Source organism: Homo sapiens, chromosome 11 (genome assembly GCF_000001405.40).
Source record: "Homo sapiens chromosome 11, GRCh38.p14 Primary Assembly".
NCBI lineage: Eukaryota > Metazoa > Chordata > Mammalia > Primates > Hominidae > Homo > Homo sapiens.
Window position 1 is genome coordinate 100,914,133 of NC_000011.10, and position 25,847 is coordinate 100,939,979.

General features: G+C 36.6%; 1 protein-coding gene and 1 non-coding gene across 6 annotated transcripts in view, besides 3 other annotated features; both read left to right on the top strand.

Annotated features, from left to right (window-relative positions):
- ARHGAP42 (Rho GTPase activating protein 42) overlaps window positions 1-25,847 on the top strand; it is a 306,654-nt gene that overhangs the window by 226,845 nt on the left and 53,962 nt on the right. For all 5 annotated transcript variants that reach the window (NM_001367945.1, NM_152432.4, XM_011542616.3 and 2 more), the window contains 3 exons: window positions 7,362-7,472; window positions 19,024-19,128; window positions 22,071-22,200. In NM_001367945.1, the coding sequence (NP_001354874.1) occupies window positions 7,362-7,472; window positions 19,024-19,128; window positions 22,071-22,200 (346 nt within the window). The remainder of the gene's footprint in view (window positions 1-7,361; window positions 7,473-19,023; window positions 19,129-22,070; window positions 22,201-25,847) is intronic.
- Window positions 6,062-6,231: an enhancer, noted in NCBI's record as "experimental_18463 CRE fragment used in MPRA reporter constructs". NCBI's record gives its function as "activates a minimal promoter by MPRAs in K562 erythroleukemia cells, with activity observed for the introgressed 11:100791010 variant allele {active_cell/tissue: K562}" and the evidence as "EXISTENCE:reporter gene assay evidence [ECO:0000049][PMID:34662402]".
- Window positions 8,506-8,800: a silencer, noted in NCBI's record as "tiled region #5256; HepG2 Repressive non-DNase unmatched - State 24:Quies". NCBI's record gives its function as "represses a minimal TATA promoter and a strong SV40 promoter by Sharpr-MPRA in HepG2 cells {active_cell/tissue: HepG2}" and the evidence as "EXISTENCE:reporter gene assay evidence [ECO:0000049][PMID:27701403]".
- Window positions 11,827-11,886: an enhancer, noted in NCBI's record as "active region_5432". NCBI's record gives its function as "activates an Ori minimal core promoter by ATAC-STARR-seq in GM12878 lymphoblastoid cells {active_cell/tissue: GM12878}" and the evidence as "EXISTENCE:reporter gene assay evidence [ECO:0000049][PMID:35858748]".
- Window positions 20,142-20,246, top strand: SNORD13I (small nucleolar RNA, C/D box 13I). The gene has a single exon (NR_145747.1). It is a non-coding gene; the product is annotated as a small nucleolar RNA, C/D box 13I (small nucleolar RNA).

Below are 25,847 nucleotides of genomic sequence, written 5' to 3' on the forward strand. Positions count from 1 at the left end.
CCATGTTAGTCAGGCTGGTCTTGAACTCTTCACCTTAAGCGATCTGCCTGCCTTAGCCTCTCAAAGTGCTGGGATCACAGGCATGAACCACTGTGCCCCACCGCTACATGTTTTAAAATCTCAATTATTTTATATGAAATTCTTTAAGAACAAATGAATAAATATTTTGCTCACATCTACACATCTAAGCAGTTTGTTTCTTCCATCTGTCTGAAATATATTTTATTCTTCCCATTGGTAGTGTTTTAACTATAATTCATAAAATCAAAGCCACTTCTTTTACTAAGGAATAATGTAGTTCCAATTTCAGTGACAAAGTGTGTCCAAAAAAAATAAATAAATAAACAAACAGACTCCCTTGCCATTGTCACCTTGAGAACAACAACAACAACAACAACAACAACAAATGTGAAGCAGCGCTCATCTCTCCTCCGCCTCCTGGTGTACTCTGAAGTGAACACCATTAGTAGGGAGTTGCTGGGTAGCTCACCCGCAGCTCAACACTGCTGTCTAAAAAGTGATCGGGAACCGTGAGGTCTCCTTTAGTCTCCTCCTCCTCTCTCTTCACTTATAGTTGTTGTAGTCCAGAGCCTCTCTCCTGATCCTTCTGCTAGGAAAACCTCCTCCCTTCCTGAACTGCTTTTCAAATTCATCCTGGTCCTCAGCTCTCTTTATTCCTTTTCTTATTTCTCCTACCTCTGAGTTCAACCAGAAGGCATGCTTGACAACTCAGAGTGTTACAAAGTTCCTACAGCCTCAAAAAGAAATAGGAGTGTAATTTTGGCATCTGATGCCTTTTTTTTCCAACAGGCATATGTTCTCATCGACAGTATCAAATTTCTTTATTTAAAGATGTTTAACATTGGGAAGTTTTGTTGTGCTTAATATTTATATATGGCTTCATCAGTGTGCTTTCTGTTATTAACACATGCTATTAAAAATAGTATAATTTAATATATAATTATGTGCTTATGGAAAGATTTTGATGCTAAACTGATGGAAGACAATCTGCCATTAAGAAAAACTAGATTTCTATTTGAAATTTCTTGGACATATTTAACCTTACTGTATTTGGTACTGCTTGTTGTAATTTAATACTATGTTTACATGTACCAAAATGTCTTAAGTGATATTAAGACCAAATGTCTTAATACATTGCACTAGAATAAACCTAAGAGTGAATGGAGTTATGGTATGGATGTGGATGTAGTTATGTAGAGAGACACTCATCTAATTATCACCAGTACATCATCATCTACCATGCCCAGGGCTATGGCCAGGTGCCTTTTTACAAATTGACTACAGGAAAATTATGGGTGGTCTTAGAGGCCCTAAAGAACTTCAGGCTCCAATAAATATCGGAAGTCATCCTTTGAAAGGATATTGCTTAAACCACCTTAAGGAAATGATAACATTATCCTAATTTTAAAGAGCTCTAGAGAATATACCTCAATTTTTCCTGACAACTTAGCTCAATATTCATTACTTGCCTCGCTAGTAGCTTAGGCTATGGTATAATAGAATATTCATTCTGGTTCCATGTTTAAGTGGAGGCTGGAGAAGATAATAGCATAGTAACATCCTCTCCCCCACCTCACTCCACAAGTACACACACACTTCTTTTCCAGGAGATACATCTTAGAACACAACACAACTAACAAATTTTGTTAAAGTAGCTTCCCAGGGTATATAATGTAGACAAGGCAAAATGTAGCTTGGGTTCCCCCCTCCCTTCGCCCCTCTAGGAATCAGACCTGTTGTAGGGAGATGCTGTCATAAACATATTTAATTCTGTGACATGGCATTAAAAGTCATCTGCTCCTTTCTAGAACAGCTCTGGTCCTTCTGTCAGCACCAAGCTTATTAACTTGTTCTCAAAAAGGCTCCTCTGTGCCTTCCTACCTGCACAGCTGACTCCTTATTCATTTTGTTCATGAAAAATAAGTGGCTGCCCATTTCCAGGACTGAATTGAAGGGTCATCTTTTATTAACAAAATCCCAAGGCCGTCAACTAGGCCATTGGAGTAAACAGTTGGAGAATCAGAAGCAAACTTGTCAAGATTATAGGCTTTATAGTGGATAGAAAGGAGTAATATTTGTTATGTGAATAAATAATTCTTTTCTAAGCATAAAGGAAATGTAGAAAGACCTGAATGCATAAAAATAAGTAATCTGTTTTGAAAGACATTAAACCAAATTAAATGTCAAACCATTAGGGAATTTAAACAACATATGACATGGGGCTATCATCTCTTATATACAAGAAGCATTGGAAAATCAGTGTCAGAAAGGTAAACACTTCAATGGAAAAAATGGGCTAAGAAGGCAAACAGGCATTGACTAAGGAGGAAATATAAACTATAATAAAAGTGGTTAGTTTCAGTGTCACATGTATTTGAAAACGCAAATAACAACATGTCATTTTCAATTTGATCAAGATAATATCTATTGTTAGTGAAGGTATAGGAAATTGGGCACACTTTTGTTCTCCTGGTGGGAGCATAAGATTTAATCATTCTTAAGGTAAATTTGACATTGTATTTCAACAAACCTGAAACATGCTAGGTAGTTGAGACGATTTCTCTTGGTAAGAATTTACCCCAAAGAAATTATCAGAGATGAGCACAAAAATTGTGTAAATATAGTTTAAATATTGATCCAAGATTCATAAGTGCAGAAATTTAGAAACATCTGAAATGTCACAAAGAATAATTGGGGTAAATACACAAATGTAGTTTGATCAAAAATGGAGTGTGATATGTTAAAAGTTTTATTTGGAGAATTATTTAAAGACATTGAGAAATATTCATACAAATAAGCAGGAAAAAAGCAGATTGTAAACCAGAATATACAGTATTATACAGGTTTGTTTTAAAATAAGTTTGTGTGTGTGTGTGTGTGTGTGTGTGTGTGTGTGTGTTACACATCAAAATATTAAACAGTGGGATTGCAATTCTTACTATCTTCACATTTCTCTGTCATAGTAACAAATAATAAATAAGCTTACAATAATGAATATTTTTACATTTATAATTAAGAAAAAAGTAAAGGGGAAAATAGATTCCCTTTAGACACCCAGGTGTTGGTTTTCCACCTATCACTAACTATTCTTTCAGTAGGTTCCTCTTGAGGCACTTCCTAAATGAAGTAAAGTCCTTAGGCATAGTTCTTAATATCTCTATTCTTATCCTTCAGTTTCTGTCCCTGAAACCTCTTCTACTTTCACATTGTTTATAACATCTGGATGAACATCTCTCAAGGGATGATTTTGTTGTGCCGGACTGTCTTTGCAATGTCCTCTGTCTGGTTGCTAAGACTTTAGATTGACCAATTCCTAGTGATATGTGAAATCTTGCACCTCACCCTCTTTTCCCAAATTTGCTCCTACCTCTCATTTTTAAATTATCTGTTAATGCTAGTATTATGATTATGATTATGATTTATTTATTTGTTTTTTGAGACCAAGTCTCACTCTGTTGCCCAGGCTGGAATGTGGAGGCATGATCTTGGCTCACTGCAACCTCCACCTCTTGGGTCCAAGCAATTCTTGTGCCTCAGCCTCCCGAGTAGCTGGGACTACAGGTGTGCATTACCATGCCCAGCAAATTTTTGTATTTTTAGTGGAGACAGGGTTTCACTATGTTGGCCAGGCTGGTCTTGAACTCCTGACCTCAAGTGATCCTCCCATCTTGGCCTCCCAAATTGCTGGGATTATAGGCATGAGCTCCGCCCAGCCTAGTAGTAGTATTTTTTTGTATCAAATTTATCTTTGGCTTTTTCCTTGCTTCTCACACCCACATCATTCAGCTTCTCTTTCTTGCTGGGGTGCACCAGACACCTTCACCATTATCAGATAAGAGATCTTTTTATATTCACATGTACTTAGGCTACCACTTAATTACTATATGCTGCACTGTCTTCATGTTAATCTTGAATGTTGCTTGTTTCTTGTCAGCCTCCTTCTTAAGTTTTTGCACTGCCTATATGATGAAATCTACACTCATTTTATTTTTTTCTGCCTTAACTCTCATTTCTGTCTCCTCCAAACAAAACCTTTAGTCACAAACCTTTTGTCCTACCTAAGCATAGCTTCTCTTTTCCTGACTCTATCACATCACTCAAACTCTTCTCATTTTATCTGTTCCTCATTCTTCAAAATCAAGCTTAAATCTTTTCTCCTTGGGAAAATATCCAACAAATATCACCTGATGCCTTTCCCTGTCTTTTGAATTGAGATAGCATTACAATAAGCTATCTGCAGAACCATATGGTTTTCTTATTAAATTAATCTGGTTTCTTTAGGTCCCTTTTTGCCAGGTAAACAAGTTTACACCTGTTGTTCTGGCCTAATTATTACTAGTGCTCTCTTTCAGTTTTAAAATTATCTCATTTCGATTGATGAATCCTAGTGTTACTCTACTTATCCAGTACAAAATATATAGTACCAGTTGCTAGTGGATTTATAAGCAAGTGTTTGCTAGTGAGTCATATGGTGAGCTTAAATACTAAAGAGATCTATTTTAACTAAAAGAATGTCTTTCTATATCTTGTACTGTAAAGAAATTAAACTGTCATATTCCTTAATACTGTATGCTCTGGATGACGTTTCACAGCAGCTTTGGTGTATCAAATTTCAGTAGTCCGCATTGGAGGCTATGAAAACACCTATAAGTGGCAAGCAGCAAGAGTCATTTCTCTTTCATCCTTTCTTTGCTTCTCATTCCCCTTTTTGGAGGGGGGCAAGTGGGATGAGACTGTGCATGGCAAATACATTTCTGAAGAAATGACTTAATACTTTTGTGTTGGGGTACCCAAGACCACCCCCAGCTTTGGTAATTTGCTTGGAGAACTCACAGGACTCAGCATATAGTCATACTCGTGGCTATGATTTATTACAGTAAAAGGAAATAAAAAAGGGTACAGGGGACAAATTCTGGGGGAAACCAGGTGCAACCTTCTAAGAGTGCTCTCCCAGTGGAGACACTCAGAGCATGCTCAATTCCCCCCTGCAAGGAGCTGTGGCATGTGAAATGTTGTCCACCAAGGAAGTTCATTAGAGACTTGTTGTCTAGAGACTTATTGGAGGCTGGTCACATAGCACTCGCTTCCTGGCACGTACCCAAATTCCAAACTCCCAGAGGGAAAGGAGATATTTGCATAAACCGTATTGTTTGTACAAACAGTTTAGGTGCAGTAAGCCACCTCTTAGCAGTTAGAGTGATGTGAACCCTCCCTAAACTAACATTCCCAGACACCAGCCAAGGGCCAACCTTGTAAGCAAACCTTTCAAAACACAGCAGTCAGGCCTGCTGTGCTAAATCTTTTCTGCATAGTTCCATTGACTAGAAAAAAAAACATTTTAGACTCTAAAGGGCTCAACATTCTAGTTTGTTCCCATGTGCTAGGCAACACAATCAGTGATGTTATGTATTTTTTCTTTTTTAAAAAAAATGGAGACAGCATCTCACTAGATTGCCCAGGCTGGTCTTGAACTCCTGAGCTCAAGCAGTCCTCCCACGTTGGCCTCTCAAAGTGCTGGGATTACAGATGTGAGCCACCATATCCAGCCTGACATTATCTTTTAAAGTAAATAAAATTTTCAAAATAACTTGTGGAATAGAATAGTGTCCCTAAAACTGAAAATATTCTTGCAGCCCTTTCACCCAGTAGTGTGCTAAGACTCACTCCAGAGAGCCCTTTTCCTGCGTCTCTTTCCAGCTTCCACATTCTGTGATGTTGAGTTTGTGTTTTGAAACTGCCCATTTTGGTGATATTTGTACCACAGAAACCACAAATACTGCAAATCAGGCTTTTCTCCCAAGACAGCCAGTTGTTAAACATTTATTAACACCTATCCCTCATTACTAAATTAATTAATTCTTATGTATATAGTGTGTTCCAATAAGCGATGGTAAGAAGAAAAGAAACATGATTTGTGTGGAATACTGATGTTCTTTTTTGCACCTCTATCTTTCATAAATGATGTCTGGGAGCTGAAAAGTTTTGGGTTCAAATCTCCTACCTGATTTATACTTTCTTCACATTTATTAGCTTAAAAATTTAGAATACTCAACTTTAAACGTCTCTAGTGAGTTGCTGGTAATATTGGATTATTTGTAATTACCTAATTAAATGCATGATAAGTATAGATAATTACAGCTGATTCTTGAACAACATGGGGGTTAGGTGCACCTACTCCCTGCATAGTTGAAAGTACATGTATAATTTTTTACTCTTCCAAAACTTAATTACTAATAGAGTCTGTTAACTGGAAGTCTTACCAATAAAATCTTTTTTTTTCAAAAATTTTGTTTGTGAAACCACCATTATAAATGGCTTCAAGTTTTCTATCCCCAAATTGGTGTCAACGGATACTTAGTACTCCAGAAAGCCCCTTCTTTCCATCTGCTTTTGTAATACCCAACTGGCGACAAGGAAGGTAGAGGTGGGCAAGAAAAGTAAGTCATGTCTCTCTGCTAAGCTAAAGTCACTTTTTAAAGAGTGCATCTGAGGGCAATAGGCAGAGAAGAGGGAAGAGAGAGGCATTGTCTAAAAGAAAATTAAATCACCTCAGTAATACTCTCTCATACTTTGTCAATAGAACCTTACTGCAATCAGATATAATAAAAGTGCATGGCATTGACAAAGCATGATTCATCAGTTTAGAGCCATTGAATTTTTATTTGTCTGTTTATTTGTTTGACTCTGCTACCAGTATTACCTAAGATCTTACCTAATGAGGTGGCTCTCCTGCTTAATATTCTTAGATGCTTCTCCCACCATTAAAATCCTAATTTGTTATGCAGCATCCAAGATACTTTATAGTATGATGCTATCCTCACTTCTCCCTCTTCTTCTCCGTGTGTTCATACTGCAGTCAAATCTGTCTCCTTCGTGCCTCTACTTTTTCAGGAAAACGGCCCCTGCTTTTTTTATATTTTTGGCAATGCAGTCAGTTGTTTGTCTTAAGATTCAACTCAAATACCACCATTTTGTCCCATAATTTTGAATTTTATCCATCTTTCTATGATCCAGTGATTTTTCATTTACATTTATATACCCCTCTTGTAATATATATATACATATATATATATATATATATATATATATATATTTTTTTTTTTTTTTTTTTTTTTTTTTTACTGCAATGGGTATTGTGTACTTACTCCGTGTGTGTATGTGTCTGTGTGTGTGAGTGTAGCTCCTGCCCCATACACTATAAGCTCCTGTAGGCAAGGACTATAATAAGTGCTGTGTTAAACTTTTTGTAGGAGTTACTTTTTAATAAAGATACCAGAGCAGGAATTGAGTCCCTCTCTATGTAGAACCATCAGTAATCACCCTCTGGTTTTTCTCTTTAGGCAGATACACAAATTGACCGAGAACATCAGAACTTCTATGAAGCATCATTAGAATATGTCTTTAAAATTCAAGAGGTCCAAGAAAAAAAGAAGTTTGAATTTGTTGAACCGGTAAGTTTCAGATTTTTGTATAAATGGTGGGCTCAAAACAATCTATGGAAAAAAAGTACACTGTTTTTTCTATAATATATAATTTTTCTTGAAAATTATGATTGATAAAAATAAAAGGGGAGTGGGAAGGGATGAAAAAGTGGAGCACAGGGAACTTGTAGGACAGTGAAATTCTTTTGTACAATAGAGTAGTGATGGGTGAGAATACCGTTATATGTTTGTCAAAACCCATAGAATGTGTAGCACAAAAACTGAGCCCTAATGTATACTATGGATTCAGTTAATATTAATGTATTAGCATTGTTTCATCGACTATAACAAATGTACCACAGAAATGCAAGATGCTAATAAGAGAGGAAGCTGTTGGCGGGAGGGGGGTGCAGAGGTGGTGGGGGACAGGTGAGCTGAGAGGGCATAAGGGAACTTCATTCTTTCCACTCATTTTTTGGCAAACCTAAAACTGCTCCAAAAATAAAGTGTATTAATTAAAGAAATTTTTTAAAAAGAGGATGTGCATTATCTATAGATGAATGAATACACTTCACCAGTACAGTGACCCATTTAGCAAATGTTTAGACGGAGAGGGAAAACCAACGGCTCTGTTTTCCCCTTTGTTCTGTGCTCCCCTTCCTCACAGGGCTCGGATCTGCTTGACTTTCCTATGAAGTCATTTATTTTCCTAAGTCAGTGTAAAATGTAATGGATTTCCTAATGTAAACCGCGTTACAGAAAAGAACAGGTGGCTGGTCTTTATAAGCTTATTTCATTTTTTAGCATTTTTTTCAAGTGATACCCTAATGTGTTCCAATATTGCCTAAATAGGCATCTTGACAAAGTGACATGTATGATGAATAAAGGTTTGCTCTAGAGTCAGGTGATCTGTTGTCTGCATTCTTCAATTCCCATGAGATCAGAGGATAGGGTTAATAAATGTGTAAGTAATCAAATATCTAATCTAAGCCATTCTTTTCTTCCTATGTAAGTCCTTTAAAAAATCCATTCATAATAAAAAATAAAATACTCTGTTTCTATATTAGTGGATATGATAAGGAGAGGGAAAGGAAGGCAACATTATAAAATACATTTCACATAAATCATTTTCTAATGGAAATCCACCAGCTATCCCCTAAAGATAATGGAAAACTGAGACAGAGCAGAGGTTGGGGACTGTTATCAGGCCCAACCTGGCTTCCAGGACCTCTTCCTTTATTTGGAGCCTACTGACTCTCTCCTGTAAACTAGGCAGTAGGCACATTTGCAAGACCAGCTTCCAGCTAGAAAGATTAAGGAACTGAAGACCACCACTCAGGCTCAGGGATTTAACTTTTACGTTTTATTTAGAATAACAAACTGAAGTTCAAGTTCTGTTTACCAAACAGCTTAATCCTTAAATCCCCTAGCATTATCCTCTTATATAGTGGACCCTTTAAGGATCTGATTAAACTTTATATGACCTAGAGAATGTTCTGAAGCTCATCTGGGGCTCATGGACAACTAGCCAGCCTAACATTTCCTATTCTAGGAAGATGACCACTACTTATGGTTCCTGTTCACCTTCCCATTGACTAAGTCCCACCCCAGAATCCCACCATGGTTTTTGAAGCCTCGCTTCTTGCTAGCAAACTACTTCCCTAGGGCCTGCACCTTGGGATTTTTGAATTTCAGCTCTTCTTGACACCAAACCATCTGAGACTCCATTAATTCTGACAGTTTTTCTGCATATTCCTTCCTTGTATCTTCCCATTTCCTTCAGACACTGTGCTGATCTGCTGTGCTGTTGTTTCTTCTCACACCTGGAATAATCCTTTCACATCTGTATCCCTTTATTCCTCTTGGAAGATGATATGGGAGTCACTTGTTTCCCTAAGTCTCTTTTATAGCCCATCCTATCTGGGAATAGTGAACTAGAACATTCTGTAAGATGACATCAGATGTATACAGAGGAGATTGTAAAAAAATGTTCGTTCACAGGTGGCAGAAGGAATGACAAGAATTTATGAATTCCTGTAAAAATACAGTAGAGAAGTAGAAGCCACCTTTCAATTGAAATGTGTTTTCTTCCTTTTACCTTATCCGAAGCTATGATGTCCTGTTAAGTCTTCTGTCATGCATGCCTTTCTTATGACACCACAGTCAAAATTGATGTTATATTTGTTCTTCTTCCAAAATATTTTCCCAGCTGCTGTGTTTTTCCTAGTAGAGCATCTGGCCAAACCAAATAGTACTGTCAGTTTGGTCTCATCCTCATTTCTAGCCTCAGAGTCTCATCCATGGAGTTGTACTTAATATCCATTTGAACAATGAGAATAGAAATGGGATCAATGAAGCATGAGTATGTATGTCAATCTTTAGGTTATGCATTTACAAATTAATTTGGAGGAGAAAAGTAGTAAACCAAAGCTCCCAGGAGCTATAAACATAAAAAGACATGAAAACACTTTAATGTTTTTGCCGGTTTTATTCTTTAGAAATCCAATTCTTGTTTGCATTGCTGTTGCATGTTGCAGAAATCTAGTAGTCTATTCTAGTTTTAGCCCAGATTATTTTAACAAATAAGCATTAGAGTAAAGCAAATGGCCTGGGGATGGGATCTATCTTCTACAGATTGTAAGATATCCAAAAGAAAATATGAACAGGGGATAGTGATTCATGAAATAATATTCTTACCTTATGATGGTATTTTTTAGATTATTTTACATTGTTTTAATCAATATCAAGATCTTACTGCTTGTCATAAAACTTCTATACAGTATTCATGTGCTATTAAGAATAAATATTCTGGCTGGGCACAGTGGCTCATGCCTGTAATCCCAGCACTTTGGGAGGCCGAGGCGGGTGGATCGCTTGAGGTCAGGAGTTCGAGACCAGCCTGACCTATATGGTGAAACCCCGTCTCTACTAAAAATACAAAAATTAGCTGGGCATGGGGGTGTGTGCCTGTCATCTAAGCTACTCGGGAAGCTGAGGCACGAGAATTGTTTGAACCTGGGAGATGGAGGTTGCAGTGATCCGAAATCGCGCCGCTGGACTCCAGCCTGGGCAACAGAGTAACACTCTGTCTCAATAAATAAATAAGGAAATAAATAAATAAATAATCCTACACTGTCATTATTCTAAAGAAAAACTAGGTCTGACACATGAACTAAAAGGGGACATTCATGTATTATTTATAAATAAGCTACGTGTTATTGTTTTAAAAGCATACCTGAAATCAATTTTTTTGTTTGTGTTTGGTGTTTTTGAGATGGAGTGTCGCCCTGTTGCCCAGGCTGGAGTGCAGTGGCATAATCTCAGCTCACTGCAACCTCCACCTGCCAGGTTTAAGTGATTCTCCTGCCTCAGCCTCCTGAGCGAGTAGCTGAAATTACAGGTGTGCACCACCACACCTGGCTAATTTTTATATTTTTAGTAGAGACAGGGTTTCACCATGTTGGCCAGGCTGTTCTCGAACTCCTGACCTCAGGTGATCCACCTGTTTTGGCCTCTCAAAGTGCTGGGATTACAGGCGTGAGCCACCACACCTGGCCTGAAATCAGCTTTTTAAACTCAGTTCTCTATAAGCCATCTTTTTTCCAGTTTATTATATTTTATATAGAAAGGGATTATAGCTCACTGTTGATTTCTAGACCCACCATTCTGTATGGTAGCAATTACCCACAGCTAGTCTAAGTTAGGATGTGCTGTAAATATAAAATCAACAGCAGCCTGCAGAATCTTAGTATGAAAAAATGGGCAATAGCTCATTAATACCTCTGATTACAGGTTGAAATGCTATTTTGGATATATTGTATTAAAATAAATTATTCAAATTTATTTCACTGTTTTTTTAAAGTATTTAAAATATGTTTACTAGCCGGGCACAGTAGCTCACGCCTGTAATCCCAGCACTTTGGGAGGCTGAGGCAGGCAAATCACTTGAGACCAGGAGTTCAAGACCAGCTTGGCCAACATGGTGAAACCTCATCTCTACTAAAAATACAAAAATTAGCCAGGCGTGGTGGTGGGTGCCTGTAATCCCAGCTACTGGGGAGGCTGAGGCACGAGAATCACTTGAACCCTGGAGGCAGAGGTTGCAGTGATACAAAATCATGGCACTGCTCTCCGGCCTAGGTGGCAGAGTGAGACTCTGTCTCAAAAAAATAAATAAAAATTAAATATATTTACTAGTAAATTACACATTGGCTTGCATTTGTGGCTCATATTATGTGTCTCTTGAACAGTGGGCTCATCCTTTCAGATGTGTCAACAAGGTACGCAAGTGTAGGTCTATGATGGGGGAAAGAGATCAGGGAGGGAGAAACATCTCCTGACTCTTGGTTATAATATTCACCTACTGCTCAGAGCTGCCCGAAGTTATGAGAATGTTTATGGATTAGAAGAAGCAGTTCTAGAAGTACTCTGAACACAAACAGCTTAAATAAGAGTTGTGGAGGAGCCCAGGGGTCTCAGAAGAATTTCATGGTACATAAAGGTTTGTGGCTTAGAAAACGGAATCTTGTTATGACTCATCTGCCTTATGATTCATTCAGCTGTAAACTTGTGTGTGTGTTGATTTATGTCCTTTGAGCCTACTTAGTTGGACTGATGTTTTGTGAGCAACTACTATGTGCTATGTGTTTTCTCTGTGTTAGCTCACGTAAATCCATAACAGCATTATTATGAAGTAGTTGTTAGATGAAGAAGCTAAGTTACAGAAAGATTGTTGGTTGCCTAAGGCCACAAACCTAAAGTGGCAGATAGGAACTCAGAACCCAAATCTGAAGTCATGGCATAGTACCACTTCCTCAGTGGACACTTAACTACAGAGATTAATCCTTCCTGATAATATTTGCTCTGGCCAAATAAAATGGACGATTAGAAAATTATATAGTGTAGTTATATTAATTCCTTAAAATTAGAAGAAAATAAGAGGTTTACCTTTGGTAAGCAGAGACAGAAAGTATAATAGCTTAACGAGTTGGAATAAGATGGAATTTGGCTCCACATCTTACAGCTGTGCAAATATGGCACACTTTACAAATGCTCTGCCTCAGGTTTTTATCTGTATGTTGAAGACAAAAATAATGTGTAGTTCCCAGGATCACGGTGAGGATCAACCAACACAGGTAATGCACAAAGCTCTTGTACCTGGTACTTCATTAGCGTCAATAAGGCACCAGCCAGTGTGTACCTCACCTGTACTATGATTGCTAGATATGAAAACAACATTTATGAATCCCTTTGTTAGTTGTGGCTTTAAAGCCCTGTGTGGCTTTTTTAAAAACACATTTTAATTTTAGCCTTCTAAATATACACCTAGAGTAAGTTTTGTAATAGCATTTTCATGTTACAGTATTCCTTTTAGAGTCCATTATAGTCTTTCTGTATTAATGTTTAAAGTTAATGCAGAAAATGAAAATAAATCATCATATATAAGCTAAAATATAGTGCTTTTGATGCTCTTCCCTTGGACTGCTAAATTCAATTTAAATTTTTTCGCTGAAGAAAATTTGCCTAATTTGCTAACATGTTATAGCTTGTTATTATCAAGACGTATACTATAAAATACTTTTCAGAGTCTCTAAATTTAAAAAGCTTAAATAATTTTGAGATTGAAATGCTACTGGCTAAGTCTTTTTTAAAAGTCCATCAGCTAGTATATAGATGAGCAGCTTTTGAAAGTTTAACATTTTGATGTGTTTTTCTTTTTCAACGTAATCAGTTAGCTTTAATTTAGTAAAAGTGAAAAAAATAAGGTTAGCATCATTGTTTTTCGAAACTCTGTAGGACTAAAGGTTAAATTTCTATCCTGTTTAAAATCTAAGGGCATTCATTCTTTAAAAATTTAACAACAAAACTTTTAAGTAAAAATAAAATCTGTAATGGTCCTTGGATAAATCTAAAGTTCAGGGTATTGTTATTGAAAATTAGAAATTTGTGATAGAACTTAGTGAACAGAATTTTGTAAAAGTAAGAAAACTGCATCCTATGTGTTTGGTAGAAATCAATCATGTAGCTTCTGCTGGGCTTTATCAGCTTGCTGGTGACAGTACTTTCTCTATTACAATTGAGCTGTAAAGATAAGCTGGCTATTGTCAATGCCTCTGTTCCTTTACCAGGAAAGTGTACCTCAGGCCTCTTCATCTGAATTCCATCCTCTTGAATGCTTACAAATCCATCTTTTCAGGAATTCCAATGACGCTTTTCAGTGCTGAGGCGATGCATGGCCACGGCTTTGTTTTATTAATCAGTGCACGTAATTGTCCATTCATTCATTTGTGCTTCTGTCCTCCCATTTTAAAAGTAGTCTTTTCCAGGCCAGCATTGACTGGCCACTTTCCATTCTTGGCTCTCTTTTTATCTTCAAGTTTCTCATTATTTATTTGATTCGATTTATATATGCTTTCGTTTTCATGCCATGAACTCCTTTGCACATCTATGCATTAGACTTAAAGCAATCTGTAGTCATTTTGAAGGTATCCTTTAAGATGTTTATCTCTAAGTTTCCTCCAGGCAGGGAATTGCAAAGACTACAGATTTAACTCACAGGCCTGACACTTTTACAGTGTGAAAATTGATGCCTTGACTTTGCCCTACTTTTCTAATCTTCTTAGAAGTTTAGATGGCCAAATATGAAGGATGGAACTATATAACATTTTGATTTCTTATAGTGCCTTATGGTGCTTTGTGTTTGGGAAGTATTTATTTTTATTTTTTAAAAACAACTTCAGGCCAGGCATGGTTGCTCACACCTGTAATCCCAGCAAGTTGAGAGGCCGAGGCGGGAGGATTGTTTGAGCCCAGGAGTTCAAAACCAGTCTTTGCAACATGGCAAAACCCCACCTCTACAAAAATTAGTTGGGCATGGTGTCATGCGCCTGTAGTCTTAGCTACTTGGGGGCTGAGGTGGGAGGATCACTTGAGCCTGGGAAGTCAAAACTGCAGTGAACTCTAATCATGCCACTATCCTCCAGCCTGGGTGAAAGGGTGAGACCTTGTCTCAAAAAAGAAAAAAAAAAGTCATAAAGATACAATTCACATACCATACAGACAACTCATTTAAACTATACAATTCAATGGAACTTTAGTATATTCACAGATCTGTGCAACGATCACCACAAAAAAATTTAAAGCATTTTCATCACCTTAAAAATAAACATCACATCCTTTAGGTATCATTCCCAGTATACCCCACAACCATTAATACTGAAACACCACTAATTATTTTCTGTCTCTATTAATTTGCCTACTCTGGGCCTTTCATACAAATGAAATTGTGTAATACGTGGCCCCTTTGGTGATTGACTTCTTTTACTCAGATGCGGTTTTCGAGGTTCATCCATCTGAAAGCATGCATCAATACTTCATTTCCCTTTAGGGCCAAATAACATTTTATTGTATGGATAGACCACATTTTGCTTATCCAAATATTAGTTGATAGGTACCTTTTCACTATTATGAATAATGTTATAAACCAGCGGTCCCCAACCTTTTTGGCACCAGAGACCAGTTTTATGGAAGACTATTTTTCCATGAAAAAATTGGTGAGGAGGGAAGGGTTTCAGGATGAACCTGTTCCACTTCAGATCATCAGGCATTAGTTAGATTCTCATAAGGAGCAGGCAACCTAGATCCCTCGCAGGCACAGTTCACAATAGGCCTCACTCTCCTATGAGAATCTAATGCCAGCACTGATCTGATAGGAGGCAGAGCTCACCCAGGTCTCACCTCCTGCCATGCAGTTGGGTTCCTAACCGGCCACAAATGACCTTTACTGGCCTGCAGCCCAGGGATTGGGGACCCCTATTATAAACGTTCATGTACAAATTTTTGTGTAGATACATGTTTTTCTCTCTCTTGAGGAATTACTGAGTCATGTGGTAACTGTATGTTTCACCATCTGACGAACTACCAAAATATCTGCACCCCTTGACACTCCCACCAGTGATATATGAGGGATACAGTTTCTCCATGTCCCTCACACACACTTGCTATTATCTCACTTTTTGAGTCTAGCTATCCTAGAGAGCTGAACTTAGATTTCACTGTGGTTTTGATTTCGATTTCTCTGATGACTAATAAGAATCTTTCAAATGCTTTTTGACCATTCATATATTTTCTTTCAAGAAATGCCTATTCAATTTCTTTGCCTATTTTTAAACTAGGTTATTTGTCTTTTTATTATTTAATTATGAGTTGTTTATATATTCTGCATACAAGCCCCTTATGGGATAAATGATTTTTGTAAATATATTCTCCCATTCTGTGAGTTTTCTTTCAATTTTCATGACAGTGTACATGAAGCACGAGTTTTTAATTTTGAATATTTGTTCCTTTTCTGTCTTGTAATGGGGTTATTTTAAAAGATTATTTATCTGTTAAGTATGGTATCAGTTTTTCCAACTGGTTGGGTTATTGGAGCGACAAGTAATTTGGTTCTATACCCTTGGGAATAATAAAGTGCTATATGAGATTTCGTCAGTGATAAAAGGAACTTTCTTAGTATTCAAACCTATTCCGTCTATCTAGAAGTTTGTAGTTGTTATTACGGTTACTGTTATTATTTTAAAGGTCAAATTTACTTTAGGGTAAACTGAAACCATAGTTTTTCCCTCACATCCCAGCCATTCAGGCAGATTCACCAAAGAAAATGATATGTGGGAAGTGCAATTCTTAAAGCTTTTCAGGCTGTCCTGTTCAGTTCCTTTCATTTCACATCTTGGAATTTTGTAGAGGATGAAATGAACAAGTATATGTTCAAACCGATAAAAACGTTTAACTTTGCTGCCATCTAGAGGCAGGTATTTCATAATGCAATCTTCAATAAACCCAAATGCTGCTTCCAAAGATGTGGAATAAAAAGGAAAAGGTGTATGATTTTTTTGTATATAATTCTTATGTGCCTTCCATAGGATTGTACATTTCCTAGTGGGTGCTCAGCATGCGTTGTGAGATTAAAAGGTATTTGTCTGCTACTAAGTGAATCTGAATTCTGCTAGAAGCTGCCAATGGGTTTATTTTCCTCTTGACTGAAGTTGGCTGCATATAAAATGCTGAGGATATAGAATAATATGAATAAGATGAAGGTACCAGGATCTTATTTTTTAGAACATGATTAAGAATTTAAAAGCAGAGTTTAGTGGGAAATATTGGTTTACCAAAATCTGTGTCAAAATACGTCCGTAAGAGTTTTGGTTAGGACGACCCACATGTGGTTCAGTGAATCTGCAAGCATGAAGTGGCCCTTCACATGAGGGAGTGTCTCACAGGTAGTTCCATGAAGCGCACCCAGCATCTTCTCCAGATGTCTAATCTTTTGAAATAGAATACACATTGACATTCCTTATCCAAAATGCTTAGGACTAGAAGTGTTTCCGATTTTTTTCATATTTTGGGATATTTGCGTAGACATAATGAGATACCTTGGGAATTGGATCCAAGTCTAAACATGAAAGTCATTATGTTTCCTATACACCTCATACACATAGCTTGAAGATAATTTTATTTTATACAATATTCTTAATAATTTTGTGCATGAAGCACAGTTTGTATATATTGAACCACCAGAAAGCAAAAGTATCAGGTGCGGAATTTTTTCACTTGTGGTATCGTGACAGTGCTCTAAAAATTTTGCATTTTGGAGTGCTTTGGATTTCATGTTTTCAGATTAGTATTAGTACTTTAGGACTGGAGCATCAAGCCATGGCATAGCAATTTGAATGTACTGGAAACTTATGTGGCTGAAGAATCATAATTGACCATTTGTTAGAAGTTTTAGCAATGTTCTAGGTGTAGTTCTGAATGGTTTACTTCATGCTTCTGAAAATATCAGTGTGTTTTGTCTTTTTTCCATGTTCTAGAAACCAAGAATATTAGAAAAGTTGGATCTCAGGGGATTCGTTGTTTTATAGAAAGATTTATCACAGATATTCTTAAAATCTTCTTTACAAGTTTAATTAACTTTTATACTGATGATGATTTCAAAGTAGCACCTGCTTTGTATAGCATCCAGTTTGTAATGAGACAGTTTAATTGTGGATTAATTATAAATGGTAAAACATGAAACAATACTTCCTTAGCAACTTCATAATCTGTTAGTTGGATGTTCAGAAGACTACTGTTTTATATATTTCAAAAATGTTTTCTTTTCTCTCTGAAAGGCTCTAAATCTAAACATGCAAACCTTTATTAAAGGTATTTTTGATCCAATTTAAGCTGCAGTTTTGTTTGTGCCATAGTATATGCATTCAGGTAGACTATATATTTTATTGGATAATTTGACAAATATAGCATCATTTTAAGATAATCTTGAATATTTAGGTTTGATAATAAGTATTAGTTGATGTAAAACTGACAGTGTAAAATAATTATAAAAGGGCAAATGCTACATTTTGGTATAATATCAGGACTGTTTGAACAAGAGAAGAAAGGTCCTTAAAATATAACAACAAAAATGGTTTGAAAATGTTTTCTGAAATGAATATGACTTTGTATTAACTTGACTTGTTTGTAGGAAGAAAAGCATGAGGTCATTGTTTTCAGATAGAACCAGTGTTTATCTGTTGGAAATCATAGCACATGTAACCAGTTGATGCTTAGCTGAATCCTCCCTACCTACCCAGACAGAGAAGGTGGCTGCGTGTTATTTACATGAGAAAATGGTTTCAAATTGTGTTTCTTCCTTAATTTAAAATAATAAGTTACAGATACATTATGAGTGACTTTTCAAAAATGTTTTCTAACTTTATTGCAGGAAGAGGTTGTGGGAAAGATTAGGTTAGGAGACAAGTCTGTGAAATAAAATCCCTGTGAATGAAATGAAAATGCTTAAATTTTTTTTCCAATATAACGTTCCATATAACCTGTGTCCTGTAATTCCATGGAGAGCCTGTCTTAATTTATGGATAAAAACATAAATACACATATGAATTTGAGATTAGAAGGTTAAGATCATAGAAATTATGACTTTGTAAAGATTTCACTTTCTCTGAAATGAAAAACCTGTGTTATCTAGTTCAATGATTTTGCTCACCACTTCCCTGTTTTATGTTCTTTCCATTCCTTTGCTAAAATGTTGTCTATTCAATACTCAAATCAGTACTGCCACCTTGTGATACTTTTTCTTAATTTCATCTGGCCAAATTCTCATTCCTTCCCTTGGGTACTTCTTATCTGTGATTTACTGGTTTGGTCTTCCTTACGTTGCACATCTTTTATCCCCTTGTTTTGATTAGAAGTTCTTCCAGGGTGGGATCTATGCTATTATACTTTAGTCGTTATCTTAGTGGTCTCTTCTGGATATTTCTTCAATGCATTTGAATAGCAGAATAGTTAACATGACAAATGTCCTTGATCAGCCTCAAAAGTTAAATTACTGTCTACCAAAAAGGAAATAAAAATCCTTTTGTGGTTTCTGTTTTATAATCGTAAATCTATTGCCTGCCTTGCCAAAGCCATTGAAAATGTATTAGTTTGAGGAATTATAATGAAATATAATTTTCTCCCTATTTTATATCATTAAATGATCATTAAAACACATTTTCATGGTTTCTTTATCTCTTTATCTTTGCAGCTTTTGTCATTTCTTCAGGGCTTATTTACTTTTTACCATGAGGGATATGAACTTGCCCAGGAATTTGCACCGTATAAGCAACAGCTGCAGTTCAACTTGCAGAATGTAAGAGTATACCTGTTCTTACTGTCTCTCAGCAAATCTGCAAATCTGATTTCACAGGGCAACTAATTACAATTTTTTTCTAGCTGCTAGTGGAAAATACAACCCACAAAACCCTAATCTTAGTTAGAAAAATTTATACTAGCAAATTTTATAAAAATAAATATTACCCAGTTGGAGACACCTGAAAGTTTATTAACTTTTGCCTTCATCCAGTGTTCTTGTTAATTTACTGGGTGATGCAGGATGAGTAAGTTTGGAGAGCTAATTTGCAGTATGGTGGCTCTAGGTAATAACACTGTATTGAATACTTGAAATTTATTGAGAGTTTAGGTCTTAAATGTTCTCAGCATACACAGATGGTAACTGTGGTGATTGATATATTAATTAACTTGATTGTGGTAATTTCATAATGTATACATGTATTAAAACATAACATTGTACATGTTAACTATACAATTTTTATTTGTCAATTATACCTCAAGAAAACTAGAAAAGAAAATACTGGAAATAAGGAAATAAGACCTTAGAGAAGTCTTTTTTTTTTTAAAGATGGAGCTTCGCTCGTCACCCAGGCTGGAGTGCAATGGCATGATCTCGGCTCACCGCAACCTCCACCTCCTGGGTTCAAGCAATTCTCCTGCCTCAGCTTCCCAAATAGCTGGGATTACAGGCATGCACCACTACACCTGGCTAATTTTGTATTTTTAGTAGAGACGGGGTTTCACCATGTTGGTCAGGCTGGTCTCGAACTCCCGACCTCAGGTGATCCACCCGCCACGGCCTCCCAAGTGCTGGGATTACAGGTGTGACCCACCGTGCCTAGCCTGAGAAGTCTCTTTTTTAAGACAGCAAAATTTCTTTATTTGTGAAATGAAGGATTGTACTTTAATAACAAAGATCTCATCTTTCTCTGAAATTGAATATAAAATATGTGCTGTTTATTATTTTCAAATAACAGGTTTGAATGTGGTTTCGAGGCATTCAAAATAACTGCTTTAAAACATAAGTGAGAGATCCTTTTGTAGTTCATGGGCATGATGTTTGGGTGTTCACGCATGTGTGTGAGACATGCCACCCTCTGAACCTTGTTACAATCTCAGCATATTACCCGTCTAACCTGAAAAAAAAATAAGAAAAAATAAATACAAAATAAAAAATTTTTTAAAAGTGAGAATTATTTCCATACAGGCCACCTATTTCTATCAGAATTTATTTTGTAAAGTTGTCTAATGAATCCTTTTAGTCTCTGATTGCATAGCTATACAAATTCTGATGTTCAAATGCTGAGCAACACTTGCATTGAAATAAAAACACACCCAAAAGTTGAGCCAACCTATTTCACATTATCAAACCTGACAAATAATGATGTCTTAATTGTTGAGGTTTTACTATAACTGAAACCCTGACTGCCAAGTACTATATAGCCCAAATCATTTGGAAAACCTTCACTTAATTTTCTACAAAGTGTATGTTTTTCTGCTTATCTGGTTCTTGCTGTTGTGGAAATGTCCAGTAAATAAAACTACAGAGTTAGAATGTCCCATAAGAAATATGTAAGGGGATTTATTCCCTTGTGTTTTGAGTTTTAGCTTTTATTTGACTTAGATTTTCTAGCAGAATCAATTTCACCTTTAATTCATTCTATTGTTTTTCCATATGGAATGTATTTAGGCTTTTACAGTTACTATTAAAAGCGAAAATTATAAAAGCTGACGTATTTTTATGATTTACTTCCACATTAAATAAAATTACATTAAGATTCCTAGGATTCAGGAACAGGAGAGAAGTAAGGAATTGGAGAAAAAAAAATTAGACCCTTATGTTTGAAAGACAAAAATAGTGAAAGTGACAAGAAAATTTTCCTAATTTTGAGATTTTTTTTTTTTTAAAATGGGGAATAAACTCCTTAGATTTAGGTGGTAGTGATTATTGTATCTTCAGAAACATATTTGTGAGGTAATGCAAAAGAGGTATTCATAGAGAAAAGTCTGATTCTTCCTATAGCTTAAATAAACTTGATTTAAAGTGAGTAATCTATTTCTTGCAACAGAAGAAGTTAGAACTTGGAAACCTATTGATTTTTATGAGTTAATTTATACACTCACCTCTTAATAATACCTTTGCTAGTAAACCAAGCTACGTGATGTTTCTTCAAAAATAGCCTTTGGAACTGTGGTAACAAACTTCTTTTCTTGACTTGTTCTATGCCACATGTATCAAAAGTATATGAATTTATTTTGTTTTTTTCCCTCAAAAGAAACTAAGTCCCTATGTATCTGTTTTTTACCTTAGGTATTTAGGGAATTCAAATTTTATGTAGTGCATCCTATATTTTTTTAATTGCCATAGTTTACCCCCTAAGTAATAATGTTAGAGTGTGAAAATAGGAAGAAGGTCACACACACACACACACACACAGAGAGAGAGAGAGAGAGATTCAAAGAGAAACATGCAGAAGGTCATTCAGACAAGTTTTCACTAAATCAGTTCAACTCAGACCTTGGGACCCAACATCACAAAGACATAGATGTGGTGAATACTGCCAGAAGAATCAAGGTCATCTTTGTGCAATTTGCAGTTTTGAAACATTTTTCTGGGCCGGTCAGGTGGCTCACACCTGTAATCCCAGCACTTTGGGAGGTGAACAAATTGCTTGAGCCCGGGAATTTGAGACCAGCCTGGGAAACATGTAAGACCCCATCTCTACAAAAAATTAGCCAGTGTGGTGGTGTGTGCCTACAGTCCCAGCTGCTTGTGGGGACTGAGGCAGGAGGATCACTTGTGCCCTGGAGGTCAAGGCTGCAGTGAGCCATAATTGCACCTGGTTGACAGAGTGATACTCTGTCTCAAAAATAAATAAAAGCAAAACAAAATATTAGTCTGGATGTTGCTGAAACTTGGTAGAAAATAATGACTGAAATTATTGTTTCTGTTTACTTAAGACAAGGAATAATTTTGAAAGTACTCGACAAGAGGTAGAGCGGTTGATGCAAAGGATGAAATCTGCTAACCAGGACTACAGACCACCCAGCCAGTGGACGATGGAAGGCTATCTGTATGTCCAGGAGAAACGTGAGTCACAAAGACATAATTTCACGTCTCTTATGACTTAGCCACGATCATGAGATGTGACTTGGTTAGTAGTATTTCCTTCAAGTAGGAGGACTGAAATTTCTTATAGCTTTATATCTACTTTCCCCCCACCACAACCAAAGTGAGGACGTTTTTCCGCATTTTGCCATCAGGATATCTAAGTTGGCATATTGTTGAACTTGGGACTTACAGTCTTCACTCATACCATAACATGCGTTCAGTTTTAGCATTTAATTGTGATACTTAATCTCAACTTAAAGTTTCATGGAAAATTGCAAGCCAAAGCCTTTACTGACATGAATCATCCTGGTGACTGTGATAATAGTTTTACCCTCTGGCAGCATTATTTTATTTAATTTTGTGCCCTGTCAGTTTTCAGGCATATAATTGGTAATCATGGTAATGTCAAATTGGCGCTCTTTACTTCCTGAGGTTCGGAAATAAGTACCAAAGCCAATAGAGCACTATTATAATTGCCTCACACTAAGGACATTTTTCTCACAAAAATATTAAAAAGCCATTCGGACTTGTATAACTGGAGTTTTTTGTGCATGTTACTTGTCATTAAGTGGAATTAGTTGGACTATTTTGACTACATTCACGCTTTCAAACCGGATATGCCCTAAGGCATCATTCTCGTGCTGTTTTTGGTGAAGAAACAGTTGTGTGTGAGTTTCCAGCCCATCGTGGACCAATGTGAAAGGCTTTTGATATACTGTATGTGCAACATGATTAAGTGATGCTCATTTGTTGGAGAGCAGGACACACACAAATTTGATTTGATCCAGCAGACTCTGCAAACATTTATTACTGCATGGACTTGATGATAGAGGAACACTGGCTCAAGAGATCTGGGTTTTAGAATGTTTCTCTCTCATAACTACCTACCTTGGCCAGTCTACTGTTTTCATATCTAAACATGATAAAACTAGTGATCTGCCTGGGTACTCTATAGTTAGCGCATAATAAGTAGCTTTTACCCTCCCCCCAGTTCATGAAAAATTACCAATCCCTTGGCTTGTCAGTAGGGTATATAGATTTCACTTAGGACTCTAAGGAAATTTTTATTTTTTTTTTATTGTTATGTTTTTTACACAAGCCTGGAAAGGACTCTAAGGAAATTTTTGAGTATTTAAATGATTTTGTACAGGTTTGAGAGCCTTCATGTGACAGTACATTGAGAGGAGCTCACATTTTCTACCAATAAAATATTTGTCCAACTGGAAGAATTTGTTGCCAGTGAGGGCAGTAAACGTGAAAGTGGTAGAGGAGGTACCATCCTTGGATTTTTTATTCATTATGGTCTGATTATGTTTTATTTCTTGAATACTTTTCTAGGTGTTACACACTTGCTGAAATCTTTGTGGGCACACAATATTTTATTCTAAACAGGAAAGATTTAGATTAGCTTGCAATATTATTTTGTACATAATCTTCAAATATATCATATTCGGTCCTACTTGGTAGTGAGTGCACCCACTGGTTGGAACCATGGTTTGCCTACCTATTGTCAAGCTGTTGGACATTTGGGTCAGTCTATAAGCATAGGCCCTTCAATAATTTGGGGGTTACATGGATGGACTAAGCGCAGTGTTTTATGCGCTTACCTGATGATGGTATCTTTTGTTCTAAGATGCTTAACTTCTCTGGGTCATTCTAGACTGATGATAAAGCCCTTTGTGGTACTGACCTCTTCTCTGATTTTTTTTTTTTTAATCTCTCTTAATGGCACCCCTCACTCTCCTAGGCTACATAAGTCAAGGCAATCCATCCTTAGTACCAGTGTTTCTCTGTAGCCTTGGGACAAACCTGTCTATTCTGTCTTCTTGATATCCTTTGATTCCATACCTTCTCTCCATCTCAACTGCCTTCGCCCAGGTGAGACCCTTGCAGTGACCTCCTAACTGTTCACCCTTTACCTCCAGGCTTGCCCATCATCTAATGCGTCTTCTACAGTGCTTCCCGCAGATCCTTCTAAAATGCTTCTTTGGTTGTGTCCTTGTTTTGATGGACCCTTAGCAGTGTCTGAATTGGAGGGTCTCACAGTTCATTTCTCCTTATTAGCACTCTCTTTGTTGATATTTTTCCTCCCCCAAGACAATTTCCATCTTGATTTGATCTGCATCTGCTGCATTATTTTTATAGCTTTATTGGGTCTAATTGGCATAAATTAATTGCACCTGCTTAAAACATACAGTTTGATAAATTTTGCCACATTCATTCACCTGTGAAGCCATCACCACACTACAACATAATGAACATATTTATCACCTTCAGAAGTTCTTTCTTGCCTCATTATAATCCCTTCCTCCTGTCTGTTCCCACCTATCATCTTCTCCTATTCCCTTTGCCAAGGGATATAAAGAAAAAGGAATATATTTATATGCTTTTGGAATTATTTTATATGAGGAGCAAATATCCAAAGCCCCTTCTAACTTGGGATCTTTGAAAGCGTTTACAATTAAAACAATCTAACCAGTTTACTAAGATGTATCGATTGTGCACTTGCTATCACTGGGTGGATAAGTTCTGTGGGGGACAAAAATGAGATAAATATTTGGCTTCAAGATTTTTATTCTGTAGTTGAAAATGTAAGACACACTTATACAATTAGCAGCCAGTGATCAATATCAAATAAATAAATATCAAAGCCATAAATTGTGTGATAAATGGAGATGGATGTGATGGGGTAGGCTTAGCTCATTGTTTGGACACAGAGTTCCACTCTACCTGAGCATGTGGTGTTTATGTTACCCACCTCGAGGCATGCATTAAATCACATTCTGCTAGACTTCAGTGTAACCGGAAGAGCCAGGGGTTCCAGAGTTAGAGCTATATTGGGATTCCATGCCTGTGCTGACCTGTGACTTGTGCCAATAGTTTTCTGAGCTCAGTCTTGCCTTATTTATAAAAGAGAGGGATTTAAACCCATGTCATAATGATATTGCAAGAATTAGAGATGTCATATGTAAAATGTCTCTATTCTCGGTAGTGTCAATAAGAATAATACTATGCTTACTATTGGGTTCTTACTATTCTTTGTAATTTATATTTATCTCATTTAATTCTAAAATAGCTTGAAAATATCATTTCTCTAAAAAGAACAACTTCAGTCACATGCCCTATTGATGAAAGTATTGCCATCTGTAGGTCACAGGCTCAGTTTTCTTAAAATGTTCTTTATAATGTCTGATATAAAAGGTTCTTAGATAAAATATGGGCACTTAGTAGGTATTCGATGAATGTTAATTCCCCTTCCGCACTGCAAATATTCATCTCAGCAACCTTAAATGATTACTGGGTAAAATAATTAAACATCTTTTATTTTGCAACTTTAGAGCTGTAATCTATTTTTATTTTCCCAGACATTTTTGGGAACTGTAGAATTGCTTGTCTAAGAACATCTGCCCTGGCCTAGTGCCAGTCAACTTTAAAGAAAGCAGCATGTGTTTGCAGCAAACTCGAGGATTAAATGCAGGAGGTCCTGAACTTCAGATGGAGGCGGGAAAAAGGGTCTTTGGTTTAAAATGTCAGAGCATTGCAGCAGCTATATTTTAAAATTATAGCTAATATTGCTTCATATATTGCTACCTACATAATGAAGTCACTACATACGAGAATTTCTA